The sequence below is a fragment of the Homo sapiens genome, chromosome 2 (genome assembly GCF_000001405.40).
Source record: "Homo sapiens chromosome 2, GRCh38.p14 Primary Assembly".
NCBI classification, from domain to species: domain Eukaryota; kingdom Metazoa; phylum Chordata; class Mammalia; order Primates; family Hominidae; genus Homo; species Homo sapiens.
Window position 1 is genome coordinate 88,658,626 of NC_000002.12, and position 16,417 is coordinate 88,675,042.

Below are 16,417 nucleotides of genomic sequence, written 5' to 3' on the forward strand. Positions count from 1 at the left end.
ATTTATTTTAATAAGGTCAGAGCACTAATGTTATCAAGAACATGTGTTTAATCCTTAGCTTTGAATGTTTATAGGAACGTTTAACCCCCCTTCACCAGTCTACAGTTACAGAATTTCCATTTAGTGAATCAAAAAGTAATGCAGTTGGTAAAAATAGTTTAAATCAATGCTGATATAGAGCTAGAAAAATTATTCAAAGTGGATATGTTATTGCTTATGAGCCAGTCGTGTCATGTTCATGAGTATAACAGAAGGAATACAGGGCTGGGAATCAGAAAATGGAGAAGTTGAGAGATAATCTTGACAGTCCTTTCTGACACAAAGGTCACATGGCTCTACATTTCCACCTATTTGCATTCCTAAGACCTGCATATCCATTCTTTGTTGGCAGCATGGTGACTGGTTAATACTGCCAATTCTAAAGCCCAGTAAGTCAGGGGTGCACCCTGCCAGGGTATGGCCCACATTCCATTCAGGAAGATAAGGGACTTGATGATTTGGGAGTTCCAGGCTTTCTGAGTCACTGCTGTGTCCTCAGTCCTTATGCACCATCTGGCATATGGTAGGTACTCCTGAAATATTTGACAATATAAATGACAAATGAAGAAATGAATGACTGGAACGAAGAGTTTTTGCCTGGACTTGTTCTGGAATTGAGAATATGGGGCCTCCACTCTTCTCCTAGTGCTGAGCTAAAGGATTTCCAGGAAAAAAAGGAGTTCAGTAAAGGCCAGTACTATCCCACGCTTTAATGCCTTCCTCTACCAACCACATTCTGAGTGAGACGATCAATAAAGGGCCCAGCTGCAGTGGATGGTGGTCGGCTTGCTAAGTTTGCCCCTTATGTCTATCTACAGGAACAAGGGCTTCCCCTCTTGCTGCTGTACTTTAGGTAAGATGTTTATATTCTATCCTTTCCCAGCCGTCTGCAGCTTCCTGAAATCCTTCTTTCACTTTGAAAGCAGCTTCCTTGCAGCTCCTGAATCCCAAAAGCAGGAAACGTGTGCTTATAATAAGCTCTTCTTGATTGGCTTGGAAATTGTGTTTTCAGTAGAGTGACAGTAACCTGACCCTTGAGAGAGGCCAGTAGTGACTCTGATGTGTTTTTCTGAAATGCCTAAGGCAGCTGCGGCTGTGGCCTGCTGCTCATGGGTGGGGTTCAGAGGATCAGATGACTTTATTTACCAGTTTATTCCGGGAGAACTGGCAGAAGCTGGAAAAGTGAGGTCAGAGAGAGGCTGTAAAGTGGAGCCTCCCCCACCTTCTTCCCTTTCTACCTCTCTCTTTGGGGTTGGGGGTAGGGAGAACTGCCATTTGATAGGAAAAATTCTTTGTTCCGAAAAGAAGGCAGAAAGAAAGGCAGTTTCTATACACAGTTCTGGCCTCCCACATTCCTCAGAATTGTTTTTTGTTTGTTTGTTTGTTTGTTTTTTGAGGCAGAGTTTCACTCTTATTGCCCAAGCCGGAGTGCAATGGCATGATCTCGGCTCACGGCAACTTCCACCTCCTGGGTTCAAGTGATTCTCCTGTCTCAGCCTCCCGAGTAGCTGGGATTACAGGTGCATGCCACCATGCCTGGCTAATTTTTGTATTTTTAGTAGAGATGGGGTTTCATCTTATTGGTCAGGCTGGTCTCGAACTCCTGACCTCAGGTGATCCACCGCTTGGCCTCCCAAAGTGCTGGGATTACAGGCGTGAGCCACCATGCCTGGCCAGAATTAAGTCAAAAGGCGACACACATCATGCACTTGAATGAGCTGTGGAGCTATAAGCAGCTCAGCAAGGAAGACAGACATAAATCCCAACTAAGACTCTTTGAGGATGGGAGAATAGAAGAATCTTCTCTCTGAAATGAAACTTTTGAAGCACAGCAACACACTGGCATGCCAGATGTGAGTGATGGAGGAGAACTGGACCTGGAGGAGGGTCTCCTCTGGAATTAGGGTTCTCCAGATAAATGGAACAGAATGTGCATGTATGTGTGTATGCAGGTGGGGGAGGGTGTGTGTGTCAGAGAGAAGGATAGGTTTTAAGGGATTGTCACACATAATTGTTGGGGCTGGTAAGACTGAAATCTGGAGGGCAGGCTGGAAATTTAAGGAATGGTTGATGTTGCAGTGTCAAGTCCAAAGGCAGTGTGGAGGCAGAATTCCATCTTCCTAGGGGGGGCCTCAGTGTTTTCCCTTAAGGCCTTCAACTGATTAGATGAGGCCCACCCCGTAATGGAGGGTAATCTCATTTACTCAACCTCTAATGTTAATCTCATCTAAAATATATGTACCTTCACAGTAACACATAGACTGGTGCTTGACAAAAAGCTGGGTACAGTGGCCTAGCTGAGTGGACATATAAAATTAACCCTCATACCTCCTCAGATGTACTGTAGAGTTGGACCCAATCTGCCAGGCTCCGGGTCACTCAGAGTGACTTTCTTCTCAGGCTGCTTGCCCTTCTCTGTCATCTGACTTCCGTGGAGGTAAGGCCCTAACTAAACACTTAACTCAGGCACAGCCAAGGTGGTATGTAAAGTAGACCAACCTTAGTTGTCATGACATTTTGTAGTTTTGTCTCTAAAGTCCTTGTTTCCAAAGTGTTTCTTCATGCTTGAAACAATACAAGTTTTAATTCTTAAAATCTCAATAGAAAGCCAACATGGAACTGGAGAATAAGTTACTGGCTGCCAGTCAATAGCACAGAGGCAACCGCACCGTCTAATCACTCCAGACTCTAACGAGTGAATGAAAAGACTCATGGAAGGTTTGGGGATGTCAATGTATGCTGGGAAAGGCAGGTGGGACAAAAGGCGAGGGGCAACCTGTATCAAACTCTGGGTCCATATAGGGGCACAGAATATTTTCACCATAGTGATTTGGTTAGACCTACCTTTAGGCTCTCAACCTCAGGTTCATAAAGACTGTCATTTGGTATCTCATAATTTGATCTACCAAATATTCTCCAAATTTTATTTCTTTCTCCTCTTCCCATTCTGAAATCCTAACCTTTCCAGGCCCCTGTCACTAAACGGTGCTTGGTGACTGACGCCCAAACTAATTTTGATACTACTTGTTCACTTTACAAGATAAACTAGCTCAGGCATCTTAGTCCATTGTGAAATGTTAACCTTTCTAATTCTGCCTATTAAACACTGTATAAAGAAGATTAGAGCAGTGAGCCACCTAATTCTACTGTCTGATCAAAAATGACCTCATTATGAACTGTGGAAGGCCATGGTGATGTAAATGCCAGAGAGGTGGAGGGGACATGTCTGTACACTTTGGGAAATGGACAATATTTGTCACCTATGTAGCTGCACCTTTCAGTCTTTGTAGATGCAATCTTACCAGCTTTGAATGAAAAACCAGTCATATCCAAAGCCAGCAAATATTTCTGAGCATCTACACTAGAAAAGACATTGTATAGACGAAGATCCTGTAAAACACATAACACCACATGTTCAATTCAATGAACGTTTCTTGGATGTCATTTTGTTAAAAAATTTTGTTATAATATGGGTCTGTCTTGGAACTAAACCAAGAGTTGAACTGCTGAATGCAATGAACCACACATTTACTGTGCCCCATGACATGGAGCCCAAGAGTCTCATCACAATGAAAGTTTGTTCTAATCCAACTTGTAATTGTACAGTAAATACTCTTATGAATCTGACCAGTGTGGAAGTATTTGTACCAATTAAGAAACATAGTACATTGTCAGTATCCAAAATCACTTCTGTGGCATTTATTTTATTTTATTTTTTTGAGACAGAGTCTTGCTCTGTCACCCAGGCTGGAGTGCAGTGGCACGATTCCAGTTCACTGCAACCTCCACCTCCAGGGTTCAAGCGATTCTCCTACCTCAGCCTCCCAAGTAGGTGGGACTACAGGTGCCTGCCACCATACCCAACTAATTTTTGTATTTTTAGTGAAATATGGGGTTTCACCATATCGGCCAGGCTGGTCTCAAGCTCTTGGCCACAAGTGATCCTCCCACCTTGACCTCCCAAAGTGCTGGGATTATAGGCGTGAGCCACTGTGCCCAGTCTTTTGTGGCATTTAAATGGACATATGTAATGTGCTAGGTGTTGTGTTAAATATACAAGGAGGAGCCTTTAAGAAAAGGGTGTAGTCTTGTTTGCAACTCCTTCGTCTTGGAATTTATTTTTCATGGCAATTTGGAAATTTTAGTTTTCAGCACCTTTCTGATTTCCGTGGTCTCTTAAACTAAATAGAAAATTCTGCGAAGAGTAACATAACTCTGTGATTGCTTGAGACCCTTAGCAGGCTGACAGGGTCCTGGCATTCAAACTCCATGAGACAGTGAAGTGCAAGCACGGTGAACACTCAGCACCGAGGTTAGTGTGCAAAGCCCAAAGCAAGGGTTTCTGTTTTCTTAGGCTAGTAGTTCTCTAACTTTGAGCATATCATATTTTAAAAAGCTGATGCTCAGACTACCCCAGACCAATAAAATTAGATGCTCTGAAGATGGGAAACAGGCATTGGTAGTTTTTAAACTTTCCCCAGTGATTCCAATGTGAAGTCAAGTTTGAGAACCAAACTGTTACTTCTCAAGCTTTAATATCATAAAAATCACCTGAAGATCTTACTAAAATGCAGATTCTAATGAAGTAGGGATGGGGCCCGGGTGTCTGCATTTCTAAAAGCTCCCAAGAGGTGTTTAATTTACTAGTCCACAGATCACACTGGATTAGCAAAGTCCCAGAAAATCTGGGTAGGATTCCAAGACCTCCAATCAGGGGTAAAGTCAAGATGAAGGGTGTCTACATGCAGGAGATTCTGTGCTTTTGCTCCCCGACTTCTGTTTCAGCCTCTTCCTGTGTGCTTTCCTGTATTGCAGAGGCAAGGAGCCTAAAAACATTTCCCCTTGCATGTAGGGCTCTGAATCTCATTCTCATTCCACTAATCCTAAGCACGTATGTGACATTTGAATTCAGAACTGAGTTAAGTGGGAAAGGCGGCAAAATTAGAAGTGCTAGCACTGGCTGGAATGGGAGGAGGGCTGTGTGACAGCCCCCCAGTGGAGCAGAGCCCCTGGCCACCTATTTGATTAATTCAAATTTGGGAGTTGTTTCTGAATGCTCCATCTAGACTCTATGTCTTTAAACCTTCCAACAATGCTGTAAGCTTTTAAATACCCTGAATTAAATACTTTCTGCATAAGCTAGTGATACGGTTTGGATGTTTCCTCCAAATCTCATGTCGAAATGTAATCTCCCAGTGTTGGAGGTGGGCCTAGTGGGAGTTGTTTGGGTCATGTGGATGGATCCCTCATCCCTTTAGTGATGAGTGAGCTCTCATTCTATTAGTTCACATGAGAGCTAGTTGTTTAAAAGAGGCTGGCACCTCCCTGCTCTCTTGCTCCCTCTTGCCATGTGATGTGCTGGCTCCCCTTTTGTTTTCCACCATGATTGTAAGCTTCCTGAGGCCTCAGCAGAAGCTGAGTAGATGCTGGCACCATGCTCGTATGGCCTGCAGAACCGTGAGTCAAATAAACTTCTTTTCTTTATAAATTACCCAGTCTCGAATATTCATTTATACAGCTAGTTAATACAGGACTAATATAGCTAGTTAGAGTGGATTCTGTTTTCTGAAGCTTCTTGACCAATACACCAGGTGTCATAACAAGAGATAGCAAACCAGTAACATTGAATAAGTCAAAAGTAACATCTGGAATAAAGGTAAAACTGAGGTCAAAATAGAAGTAGCTTACAAGGAGAAAAGTAGCAGAGGAATTCTTATGGACATGCATGACAATATCTAGGGGTTGTTTGTTTGTTTGTTTGTTTGTTTTCAGATGGAGTTTCACTCTTGTTGACCAGGTTGGAGTGCAATGGCACGATCTCAGCTCACCGCAAACCACCTGCTGGGTTCAAGTGATTCTCCTGCCTCAGCCTCCTGAGTAGCTAGGATTACAGGCATGTGCCACCATGCTCGGCTAATTTTGTATTTTTAGTAGAGATGGGGTTTCTCCATGTTGGTCAAGCTGGTCTCGAACTCCTGACCTCAGGTGATCTGCCCGGCTTGGCCTCCCAAAGTGCTGGGATTACAGGTGTGAGCCACTGCGGCTAGAGTTTTTTAAAGAATGTGGAACTCTCCCTATATGAGAAAGTCCTCATCTTTTATTTTGCTTAGTTTTATTTTATATTAGACTGTCTTTTACTAAGACCTTGGGGCTGGCATCCAACCCCTAAGAACTACTGAAGTTATTAAATATGTCTTTGGGGGATCCTGAAAGAACACCTTTCTGGAAGGGTTGGGAGATCCAGGGCTGATACTGAAGAATGAAGAGTTGAGAGGTGAAGAAGGGAAGCTTCCTGAGTGGTATTATTTTCCTAGAATCTCATATAAATGGGGGTCTCCTGAGTTTGGAGTCAAGCCTTACCTTTTAGGCAAGCTACCTTCTTTTTTATAACTCTGTGGTCCCTTAGGTTGGGATTCAAGGGACCAGAGTTATCAGGATATGAAGTTTGGAGAGGGAAAAGGCTTTGGAAAACCCACAGGATCACCAAGCTTTTGGCTATGGGCTGAATAAACAATATATCTCACACATACATATGACAATCAATCTAATGAATCTAGAAATAGCATGATTAATAAAATGCAAATATGTTTTAAATCATTGGGGAACTTATTAATTTTTCATTATGAGTTTTATTAGTCAACAAATACTAGAAGAACAATTACTAGGCCGGGTGCAGTGGCTTACGCCTGTAATCCCAGCACTTTTGGAGGCCAAGGTGGGTGGATCACTTGAGGTCAGGAGTCTGAGACCAGCCTGGCCAATATGGTGAAACCCCATGTCTACTAAAAATACAAAAATTAGCTGAGCATGGTGGTGCATACCTGTAATCCCAGCTACTCAGGAGCCTGAGGCAGGAGAATCGCTTGAACCCAGGAGGTAGAGGTTGCAGTGAGCCAAGATCGTGCCATTGCACTCCAGTCTGGACGACAGAGTGAGACAACAACAACAACAAACCAATTACTAACAAGTAGATATTGGCAAGTTTTTTTTTTTTTACATAAATGAATAAAGCGTCCTCATAACTAAGTATCGGGTATGATTGTCCAGTCCTTCTTGAAGTTGGGTTTGCATGTTTCAGCTGTGATATAAGGTGTAGGAAGGAGAGCTTGTTCACAGCTGGGCAAGCAGGAACTAGACCAAAGGGTCTGAGCAAAGGTGCAACCTCATGGCCCACATGCCCCCACGTCACATGGAGATCCTTTGGTCTAGTGTCCAGTTTGGAGGACCTGGGCTTTGTTCTTATTAAGAAGGCTCCATTGAGTCTCTGACTCAGGATTATGAGAGGAGAAAATAAATTCTCACTTGGAAGCAGTCCATGATAGCAGCATAAAGGTAAAAAACAGAAAGTCCTGGACTAGGATATAGTCATTGACTTATACAACAATCATTTGGTATTTATTATGTGCCAAGCAGAGTGCTAGGTTCCAGAGATGTTTGACATCATCCTTTGGCCCTCAAAAAGCTCACAGGTGAGTGGGAAGGGAGAGACATATAAATATATTGGTGATCAAATTTAATGGCAGAAATATCATGATGGGGTGTTATCAATTGGGAACATGTTGGAAGTGACAGTGGCCTATAAATCAAAAGGAAGATTCAATAATTTATCCACTATCTTTTACACAAACTTTATGTCAGGCTAACCTCCACCTCCCAGGTTCAAATGATTCTCGTGCCTCAGCTACTCAAGTAGCTGGGATTACAGGTGTGTGCCACCATGCCCTGCTAATTTTTGTATTTTTAGTAGAGACAGGGTTCACTATGTTGGCCAGACTGGTCTCAAACTCCTGGCCTCAAGTGACTCGCCTACCTCGGCCTCCCAAAGTGCTGGTATTACAGGCATGAGCCATGGTGCCTGGCCAGAAGTCTTATCTTTATAGACCTAAGTATCACAGGTAAGATAACCTTACCCCAGTGAGGATGGAGGAAAGAATGACTCTGTCCAACAATACCTTGTGATTAGTCCAGTCCAGATCTAGGTTCTCCAAAGGTGGTTGGGTGGCAGCCCTCCTGCCCTCCCCAACTGCTGCTCCTCTCAGGGGCCCTCATTCTCAGGTGCTGTCAATAGCAGAGGTATGAGTCATGCTCACGGGATGCCTGTGTCTGTTCCCACCCTGGTCCCTGCCAGATCAAACATACTAGCCACAGATGCAGTTGGCCATGAGTCTTGCTTACCTTGGAACCTTGGCCCAGTCTCCGCAGCAAATCCATTGTTAAGGTACAGGCTGTGCGTGGACACACTCACTGGACCCCATGCTGAGGGCTTATTGCCTCCTCGGCCTCACTGTCCCTGAATTCCCACACTCCTAGCACTCCTACCAGACATCACCCAGGAGAGCCTCTTGGCGCAGGTGAATCACTTTTCCTCAATCACCCTAACTCATTCCAAGCATTTATTTGGTGGCAGCTCTTAACCAAGCTTAACTCAGCACTCTTTATAGCAGAAAGCAGAGCTGTGTGGTTCACAAACTTCTTGGCCTTGGAGGGGTGGAGTATTGAAGACCAACAATGTGTATAGTTGAGTGTTTTTATTAACACGAGCTGACCAGTTCATCTCCTCTTTCCTCTCACCCACAAGTTTCATTCCTGAATCAATGACTATGTCCAATCCAAGGGTAAAATGGGGTGCCCAGAAGAGCAGGTGGTATGATCATTTGAGGACCTGCTGAAGATCTCTCTCTATTTATCTATCTATCTACCTCTCTCTCTCAGAGATCTTGCCTTTGCCACCAGAATTCTCACTAATGCCCCCTACCTGGGGCAGCCGGTGTCACCATTTTTACTCTTCTTTAAAACTTGACACCCCAATAGCCTGGCATGTCAGGATGTGCCCATGCTGCTGCTAGAGGAGGCTGGCTGATCTCGCATTCACATTCCTATTCATTTCAAGAATGATAGTAGATGCATTCTGAGATCCTGCAAGACACTTCCAATAGTCTTCTACTCAGCTCCAGCATCAGATGGATGGAAGAGGAAAACTAGTGGGATGAGGCAGTGAGTGTGTATTGCAGGGCATTTCAGGATGAAGAGCACTAAAGAGTGCTCATTCTTTTACAGTTTCTCTCATTTTTTGACCACATCTCCTTACTACTCTCTCATCTCTCCCTCTTCTGCATGCTTTCAGGGTAAAGACATATAGACAGTAGTGTCCAAGGAGCTTCGTGGCTGTCTCTGGGGAGTCATCCCTTGCTCTTGGTGAGGCCTAATGCTGGGTGACTGAGCTGCTTCTTGGCTCTAAAGCAGGGTGTGGGAAACTGGGGTGAGATTCTGGTTGGGTAGCTGTTCTTAGTGGCAGCCTTCTTTCCTTGTTGATACTTATGAGGTTCAGGACACGCTACTACAAAATGTGGCACCTTGGCATTTGAGAAAACAGTAAAAGCAAGAAGCCCACTCTTACTTTCCCCTCACCTCTTATCCTCTGAAGCAGATCAGGAAACTAAGCTGAGCTTCTCCTGAAGCAGGTCCTAACATCCCCATGTGAGAGGTGCCCATCCTACACTTGGAGAAAAGGAATGTTACACAGGAGAGCCAAGAAGAATCTGAACAAACTAACCTTGCTAAGTTTTCCCTCAGTTTGTTACTATCAGCTCATACACTTTGGTTCTCTAATCATACTTCTGCATGGCTGTTCATAAAAATACAGTTGTCTTCATTTCTTTGCATCTTCATTTCTGAAGGCTCTCATACAAAACTTATATGAAATACACTTGTATGCTTTTCTCCTGTTAATCTGTCTTTTGTCATGGGAGGATCAGTCATGAACCTTGTGATGGGTGAGGAAAAGCTGTTACCTTCTCTCCCCTACAGCAGCATGTCCTCTCAGATGATGGCGCAGGGGTTCTCACCAGTCTGATACCATGAGTTTGATTCCAACAGTGGGTGCCTCTTGAATGGTTTACCTGTCCCCACATTAGCCCCATGGGATCTTTTTACAACATAAACTTGATCATGTCCTTCCCTCTCTTAAGATCTCCAGTGGCTTCTCTTCACTAAGAACAAAATCCAAACTCCTTACCAAGACCCACAAGACCTTCCATGGACCAGTTGCTGCCTGCCCTGACAAATTCACCTCCTACCCTTCTTCTCCTTCTCGTTCTGCTCTAGCCACACTCCACACTGAGCATTTTTTTGGTTCCACCAACATCTTACATTTCTTCCCATTGCATGGCCTTGGCACTTGCTACTTCTGTTTGCAATGCCTTCCCCTACAGAACTTTGGATATCTGTCTCCTTCCCTTCCTTCAGGGCTCAGCTCAAATGTCACTTCCTCAGAGTAGCCTTCTGATGACCCAAACTAAAGCCCCCCCACCCCAATGTATTCTCCACTTTATCACCAGAGTTTTCCAGGCTTTACTGACTCATATTTGCTCTGGATGCTGTCCCAAGATTCAAAGGGCAGCGTTAGGTCTGCCTGATGGTTAGACATGGTGTCCTGATTGGCAGGCCCCATGACAAGACAGGTTTAGTGAAAGGACAGGACAAGATCATTCTGAAATCCACTCCCATTTCTCCTTCTGATACTCCTTGGACTGGGAGAAAAAGAGAGGCTATCTTTCGGTAGAGTGACCAACTGTCCCAGATTCCCAAGGTTTTATAGGATATGGGGTTTTCAAATAAAAAACTGGGAAAGTCTCAGGAAAACTAGGACAAGTTGGTTACCCTATGATCTGAGATCTTTTGAGGAAGTTCAACAGTGAAAAACCAATTGAATCACCTTTGACCATTCAATTTAATTCTCTTTAGCTTTGTCTAAGTCATAGAAGTTGGATACCAAAGAAAAACAAATACTTTTTGCAATACCTTGGATGACATTATGTAGGAGGATTTGTTAGAAGAATACCTTGCAAGACACACACACACACACACACCCTAAAGGCAAAAGTGACGCACATACTGAACATTTAATATGGTTTTGACTCCAAATCCTTTGTACAGCACCTGTTGTCTGAGCTTGATAAAGATTTGATAAACTGTTGAGCTGAGTTTAGCTGAGTATATTATGAGATCACTTTTAAAGCTTCAGGGCCAGAAAATCTGAAGAAATTGGGCTGTTCCAGAAATTCCTCACAGCAGGAAACAGAAAGACTTCATAATCTAAGTATAGGTGGTTACCATTACCTCTGTTGACCAAATTGATCGGCCAATAGGGAGGATGGTCTGCCACCTGATGGTAACTCATAACATTGCTCCCTGGTAAAGCACAATTCCTGTGTTGGGTGAATTAATTGGGCATAGAATTATAAGAGCTGGAGGCGCCTTAGATTTTGACTGTATTTTTAACCACTAAAATAAATAAACTTCACAAATAATATTTTAAAATTGTTTGTGAATTATTGTACATGAGAAATCTCACAATAGGGTGAGGTAAAGGGAAAAGAGAACTAAAATCTGCAGAATATTCATGGGAACTAGACGTCTACATAGATTTCTCCCACAACCTTGTAACATGGATAATATTATATAAATTTTACAGATGCTAACATGGATACTCAGAGAGGTTAAGGTGTTTCTCCGAGATTAAACAAGAAAATAAAGGGCACAGTTGATTCGACCTCAGTTCTTTCTGGCTCCAAAGTATGATCTCAGGCTGTTACACTGCATTTTGTCACATATTTAACAGATCACTTTATAACAAATAACTTTATTGCAGTATAGTTTACATGCAATATACCTGTATGTTTTAAACTTGCTATGTTGAGATAATTATACATTCACAGGAAGTTGCAAAAATGGTTACATCTTATATAACTAGAGTGTAATACCAAAACCTGACATTGATATTGGCACAGGATATATGTATAGTTCTATGCTATTTTATCACACGGGTAAATCCACGTAACCATCACTGTGATCAAGATACAGAACTGGGGCTGGGAGCTGTGGCTTACATCTGTAATCTCAGCACTTCAGGAAGCTGAGGTGGGTGGATCGCTTAAATTCAAGAGTTCGAGACCACCCTGGGCAACATGGCAAAACCCCCTCTCGACAAAAAATACAAAAATTAGTGCCTGTACTATGCGCCTGTAGTCCCAGCTACCTGGAAGGCTGAGGTGGTAGGATCCCCTGAGCCCAGGAGGTCGAGGTTGTCATGAGCCAAGATTACACCACTGTACCCCAGCCTGGGCAACAGAGCAAGACCCTGTCTCATAAATAAATAAATCTGTGATCCATTTTGAGTTAATTTTTGTATAAAGTGTGAGGTTTAAGTGGTTTTTAAAATTATTTATTTATTTATTTATTTTTGAGACAGAGTTTCGCCCTGTTGCCCAGGCTAGAGTGCAGTGGCGCAGTCACTGCTCAATGCAGCCTTGATCTTGACCTCCTGACCTCAAATGATCTGCCCACCTCAGCTTCCCAAAGTGCTGGAATTATAGGCATGAGCCACCGCACCCAACCTTTTGTTTTGTTTAGTTTTGCCTGTACTTATCAATGGCAAGCTGAATAATGTCTATGTCCTAATATCTGGAACCCGCGAATGTTACCTTATATGGCAAAGGGGCCTTTGCTGGTGTGATTAACTTTAAGGTTCTTGAGATGGAGAAGTGATCCTGGATTATCCATGTGGGCTGGGTGTCATCATAAGGACACTTGTGAGAGGGAACCAGGAGATCAGAGTGAGTAGAAGATGTGACCGCGGAACCAAGATGTTGGAGTGATGCAGAGAAAGAGCCATGAGCCAAGAAATGTAGGCAACCTCTACCAGTCTGTGACCAAGAGAGGACTAAAAATTGGTTCTTCTAACTCAATTCTTTATTTTCCATTATCTATTATACCATGCACTTTTATACCATTATACTATACAACCATTAAATCGTATCTTAATAAACTGTAAGCAATTATACAATTTCTGGGTTGTACTGGGATTTTATTTTATTTATTTATTATTATTTTTTGAAATGGAGTCTCACTCTGTTGCCCAGGCTGGAGTGCAGTGGCATGATCTCGGCTCATTGCAACCTTTGCCTCCTGTGTTCAAGTGATTCTCATCCCCCAGCCTCCTGAGCAGCTGGGATCACAGGTATGTACCACCACAGCTGGGTAATTTTCGTATTAATATTAAATATTTTTAGTGGAGACGGGGTTTCACCATGTTGGCCAGGCTGGTCTTGAGCTTACGGTCTCAAGCGATCCGCCTGCCTTCGCTTCCCAAAGTGCTGGGATTACAGGCGTGAGCCATCACGCTGTACTGGGATTTTTAACATGATGATTTTATCTATTCGTCATCTATCCATCCATGCATGCATCCATCCAGTAACCTCATACTGGTGCCAGTGTAAAGCCCTGAGGATACAGACGTAAAAAATAATAGATGCAGGCTCTGCACGCAAGGAGCTTGCCCTCTAGTGGGCAAAAATAGGCATAGCAATTATTTCTTTTTCCACCTCGTACCCTGGTGCAGCAATTACATACATATATACATATATATTTGTCTGCCTTAGAAGATGGCTTAGCCAGATGAAGATGAAGACTGGGAGGATGAGGGGTTATAGTGAGGACATTCTGTGCGGAGGCACTGGTTCTTGCAAAGGCATGAAGACATAATAAAACATGGTACGTACAGAAACTTTGAGTGGCTGGCTATAATTGGAGTTTAGGTGGTAAAAGGGGGCTGGTGGAGGAGGATGCTGCTGAGGGAAAAAGAGGTCAGCTCATGGAAAAGCCCCTGCATGCCTTGTTAAGAAGCTTGGACTTTAACCTTAAAACAGTGAGATGCATTGTAAGATTAAACAAGGATAACATGATCAGATTTTTTTTTAAAAAATCGCTCTGATGGCTGAAGAAGGACATTGAAATTGGAGGAAAGGAGAAAAATTATGAAGATGTAGTAATAATCTAGAATTGATGGCTGGGTGCAGTGGCTCACGCCTGTAATCCCAGCACTTTGGGAGGCCGAGGTGGGTGGATCCCTTGAGGTCATGAGTTCAAGACCAGCCTGGCCAACATGGTGAAACCCTGTCTCTACTAAAAATACAAAAATTAGGCAGGCATGGGGGTGGTGCGTGTCTGTAATCCCAGCTACTTGGGAGGCTGAGGCAGGAGAATCGCTTGAACCCAGGAGGCAGAGGTTGCAGTGAGCCGAGATTGTGCCACTGCACTCCAGCCTGGGCGACAGAGTGAGACTTCACCTCAAAAAAAAAAAAAAAAAAAAAAGAAAAGAAAAAAGAAAAATGAATTGATAAATGCCTGCACTGAGCAGCTGGAGTTGGACATAAATACAAGGGCTGGGTCTGAGGGTTATAAAGGAGGTAGATTGTGTAGGTAGAATGTGATTAATGGAATATAGTGAAAGAGAGGACTATTCCTAGAACCCTGGCTTGGAATTTGTACATTCATTCACTGCAAACAGTTTTTGCTTGTTCGTTACCTAAATCTATCATCTTCAAAGAAATACAGATATTTCCAAGGAATTGATGTAGTTTGGGATAAACTTTAACTAGAATAACATCATAAATCAGCTTTCATTTGTTTACTGTAAAATACCAGCTGAGGCAGGAGGATCCCTTCCACCCAGGAGTTTGAGGCCAGTCTGGGCAACACAGTGAGATCTTGTCTCAAAAAAAAAAAGTCTTTTTAATTAAAAAAAAGGATTATCTTGCTCAAAATGTCCGTACTGCTGAGTTTGTGAAATCCTCTAATAGCTTCCTGCAGCTTTGAAGAGATAGGTACATGGGAATCTTGAAGTTGGCATTGTAGGGAAAATTTCATACTTCAGTAGAAAACTTTGCCTTATCTGAACTGTGCAGGACAGCCTTCCAGGTTATCTGATTCCATGAAAGCTATTTTTCAGTTTTGTAAATTATGAACAAATAACAGCAATATGAAATAATTTTTATCTAAAGACGTGCAACATCTGCTTTGTATGGCAGAGGTTCAGTTGAATTCCTTGTCTTATTGTGGAGTGATATGGTTTGGCTCTCTGTCCCCACCCAAATCTCATCTCAAATTGTAATCCCCACATGTCAAGGGAAGGACCTGATGGGAGGTGATTGGATCATGGGGGAGGTTCCCCCATGCTGTTCTCATGAGAGTGAGTGAGTTCTCACAAGAGCTGATGATGTTAAAGTGTGGCACTTCCTTGGTCTTTCTCTCTCCTGCCACCTTGTGAGGAAGGTACTTGCTTCTCCTTTGCCTTCCATGTGAATGTAAGTTTCCTGAGGCCTCCCCAGCCATGTGGAACAGTGAGTCAATTAAATCTCTTTTCTTTATAAGTTGCCTAGTCTCAGGTAGTATTTTTATAGCAGTGTGGAAACAGACTAATACAGGGAGCAAGCTTGCTTTGTTTCCCCAATTGGCACATTCATTTCAACATTTCTTTACTCCATATAATTTGTGATTTTTTAGAACTTCTTTAAACTAGTTGAAACACCTCACCAGATTCCTTATTAATGAGTTCAATAAAGTATTAACATGTGTTTATTTTTTATCTGTATGAGAGTTATATTTTGTCTTAAAGAAATTCTCTTTCAATAGCATTATCCACCATTGAGGTAGTGAGGGAACAGAATCATTTCCACTGGAAGGTGCCTGGGCCATGGCAACTGAGGCACGGAACTGAATGTGAGCTTTAAAATCGGCTGCATTTGTCTCTGTGGCCCCCTGCTGTATTCCTGGAAGCTGGAGCTGCACCCAGCATGTAGTAAGTGCTCCACAAATGTTTGTTGAATGAATAGATGAGGCAACTGAATGAAAACCTTCTGCTTAGGCTGTGTAGATTGAGGAGGAAAAGAGAGAGAGAGAGAGAGAGAAGACATTGTTCTCTATGGGAACAAGGAAGGGGAGATTTCCTTAAGGAGAGGGAACAATGGACTTTATAACGGGCAGAAACTTGTGTTCAGCTTCCAAGGGCCAGCATACCTGGGGCCCTTCCCCTACTGGTGGCTGTATCATTTGTTATCTAGAGCATATCACATGAGCCAGCCTGGGCAGTTGAGCATATTTAGAAGAACAGATAGTTTTTAGAAGAAAAATGAGGATTACAGAATTGTCTTGAGATAATTATCCTTGGCTACAAGGATCAATAACAACAATGAGGTGGGACAGACAGTTGCTGGGCACACACACACAAAATACTTCTGTGAAAGTTTGCAATGGCCCTTTTGCAAAGTTGTGCTTTTTTCAGGGTTATTTTGTGAGAGTTCTTGTTATCTGGCATTTGTATGTGAGAACCCTCCTTTCGCGGCCTTCCCTGGCTCCATTTCTCAGGGTTTTTAACACAAGTGACTCTATTTTGATTCTGACAACTTTTACAGTGACAGAAAATAACTGGAATCGAACTGCTATTGAAGATGGCAGCAGGAGCAATAAAGGACATAGAGTACAGCCTTTTTTTTTTTTGAGCTGGAGTCTCGCTCTATTGCCCAGGCTGGAGTGCAGTGGC

The 16,417-nt window shown here is 43.0% G+C and overlaps 1 long non-coding RNA gene across 1 annotated transcript in view, besides 1 other annotated feature; it reads right to left on the reverse strand.

The window, feature by feature from the left end:
* LOC102724805 (uncharacterized) overlaps positions 1 to 16,417 on the reverse strand; it is a 40,267-nt gene that overhangs the window by 7,416 nt on the left and 16,434 nt on the right. The gene's annotated exons all lie outside the window — the stretch shown is intronic.
* Positions 168 to 1,077: an enhancer, noted in NCBI's record as "OCT4-NANOG-H3K27ac-H3K4me1 hESC enhancer chr2:88958311-88959220 (GRCh37/hg19 assembly coordinates)". NCBI's record gives its function as "activates a minimal SCP1, AML or CMV promoter by ChIP-STARR-seq in primed H9 embryonic stem cells {active_cell/tissue: H9 hESC(primed)}" and the evidence as "EXISTENCE:reporter gene assay evidence [ECO:0000049][PMID:30033119]".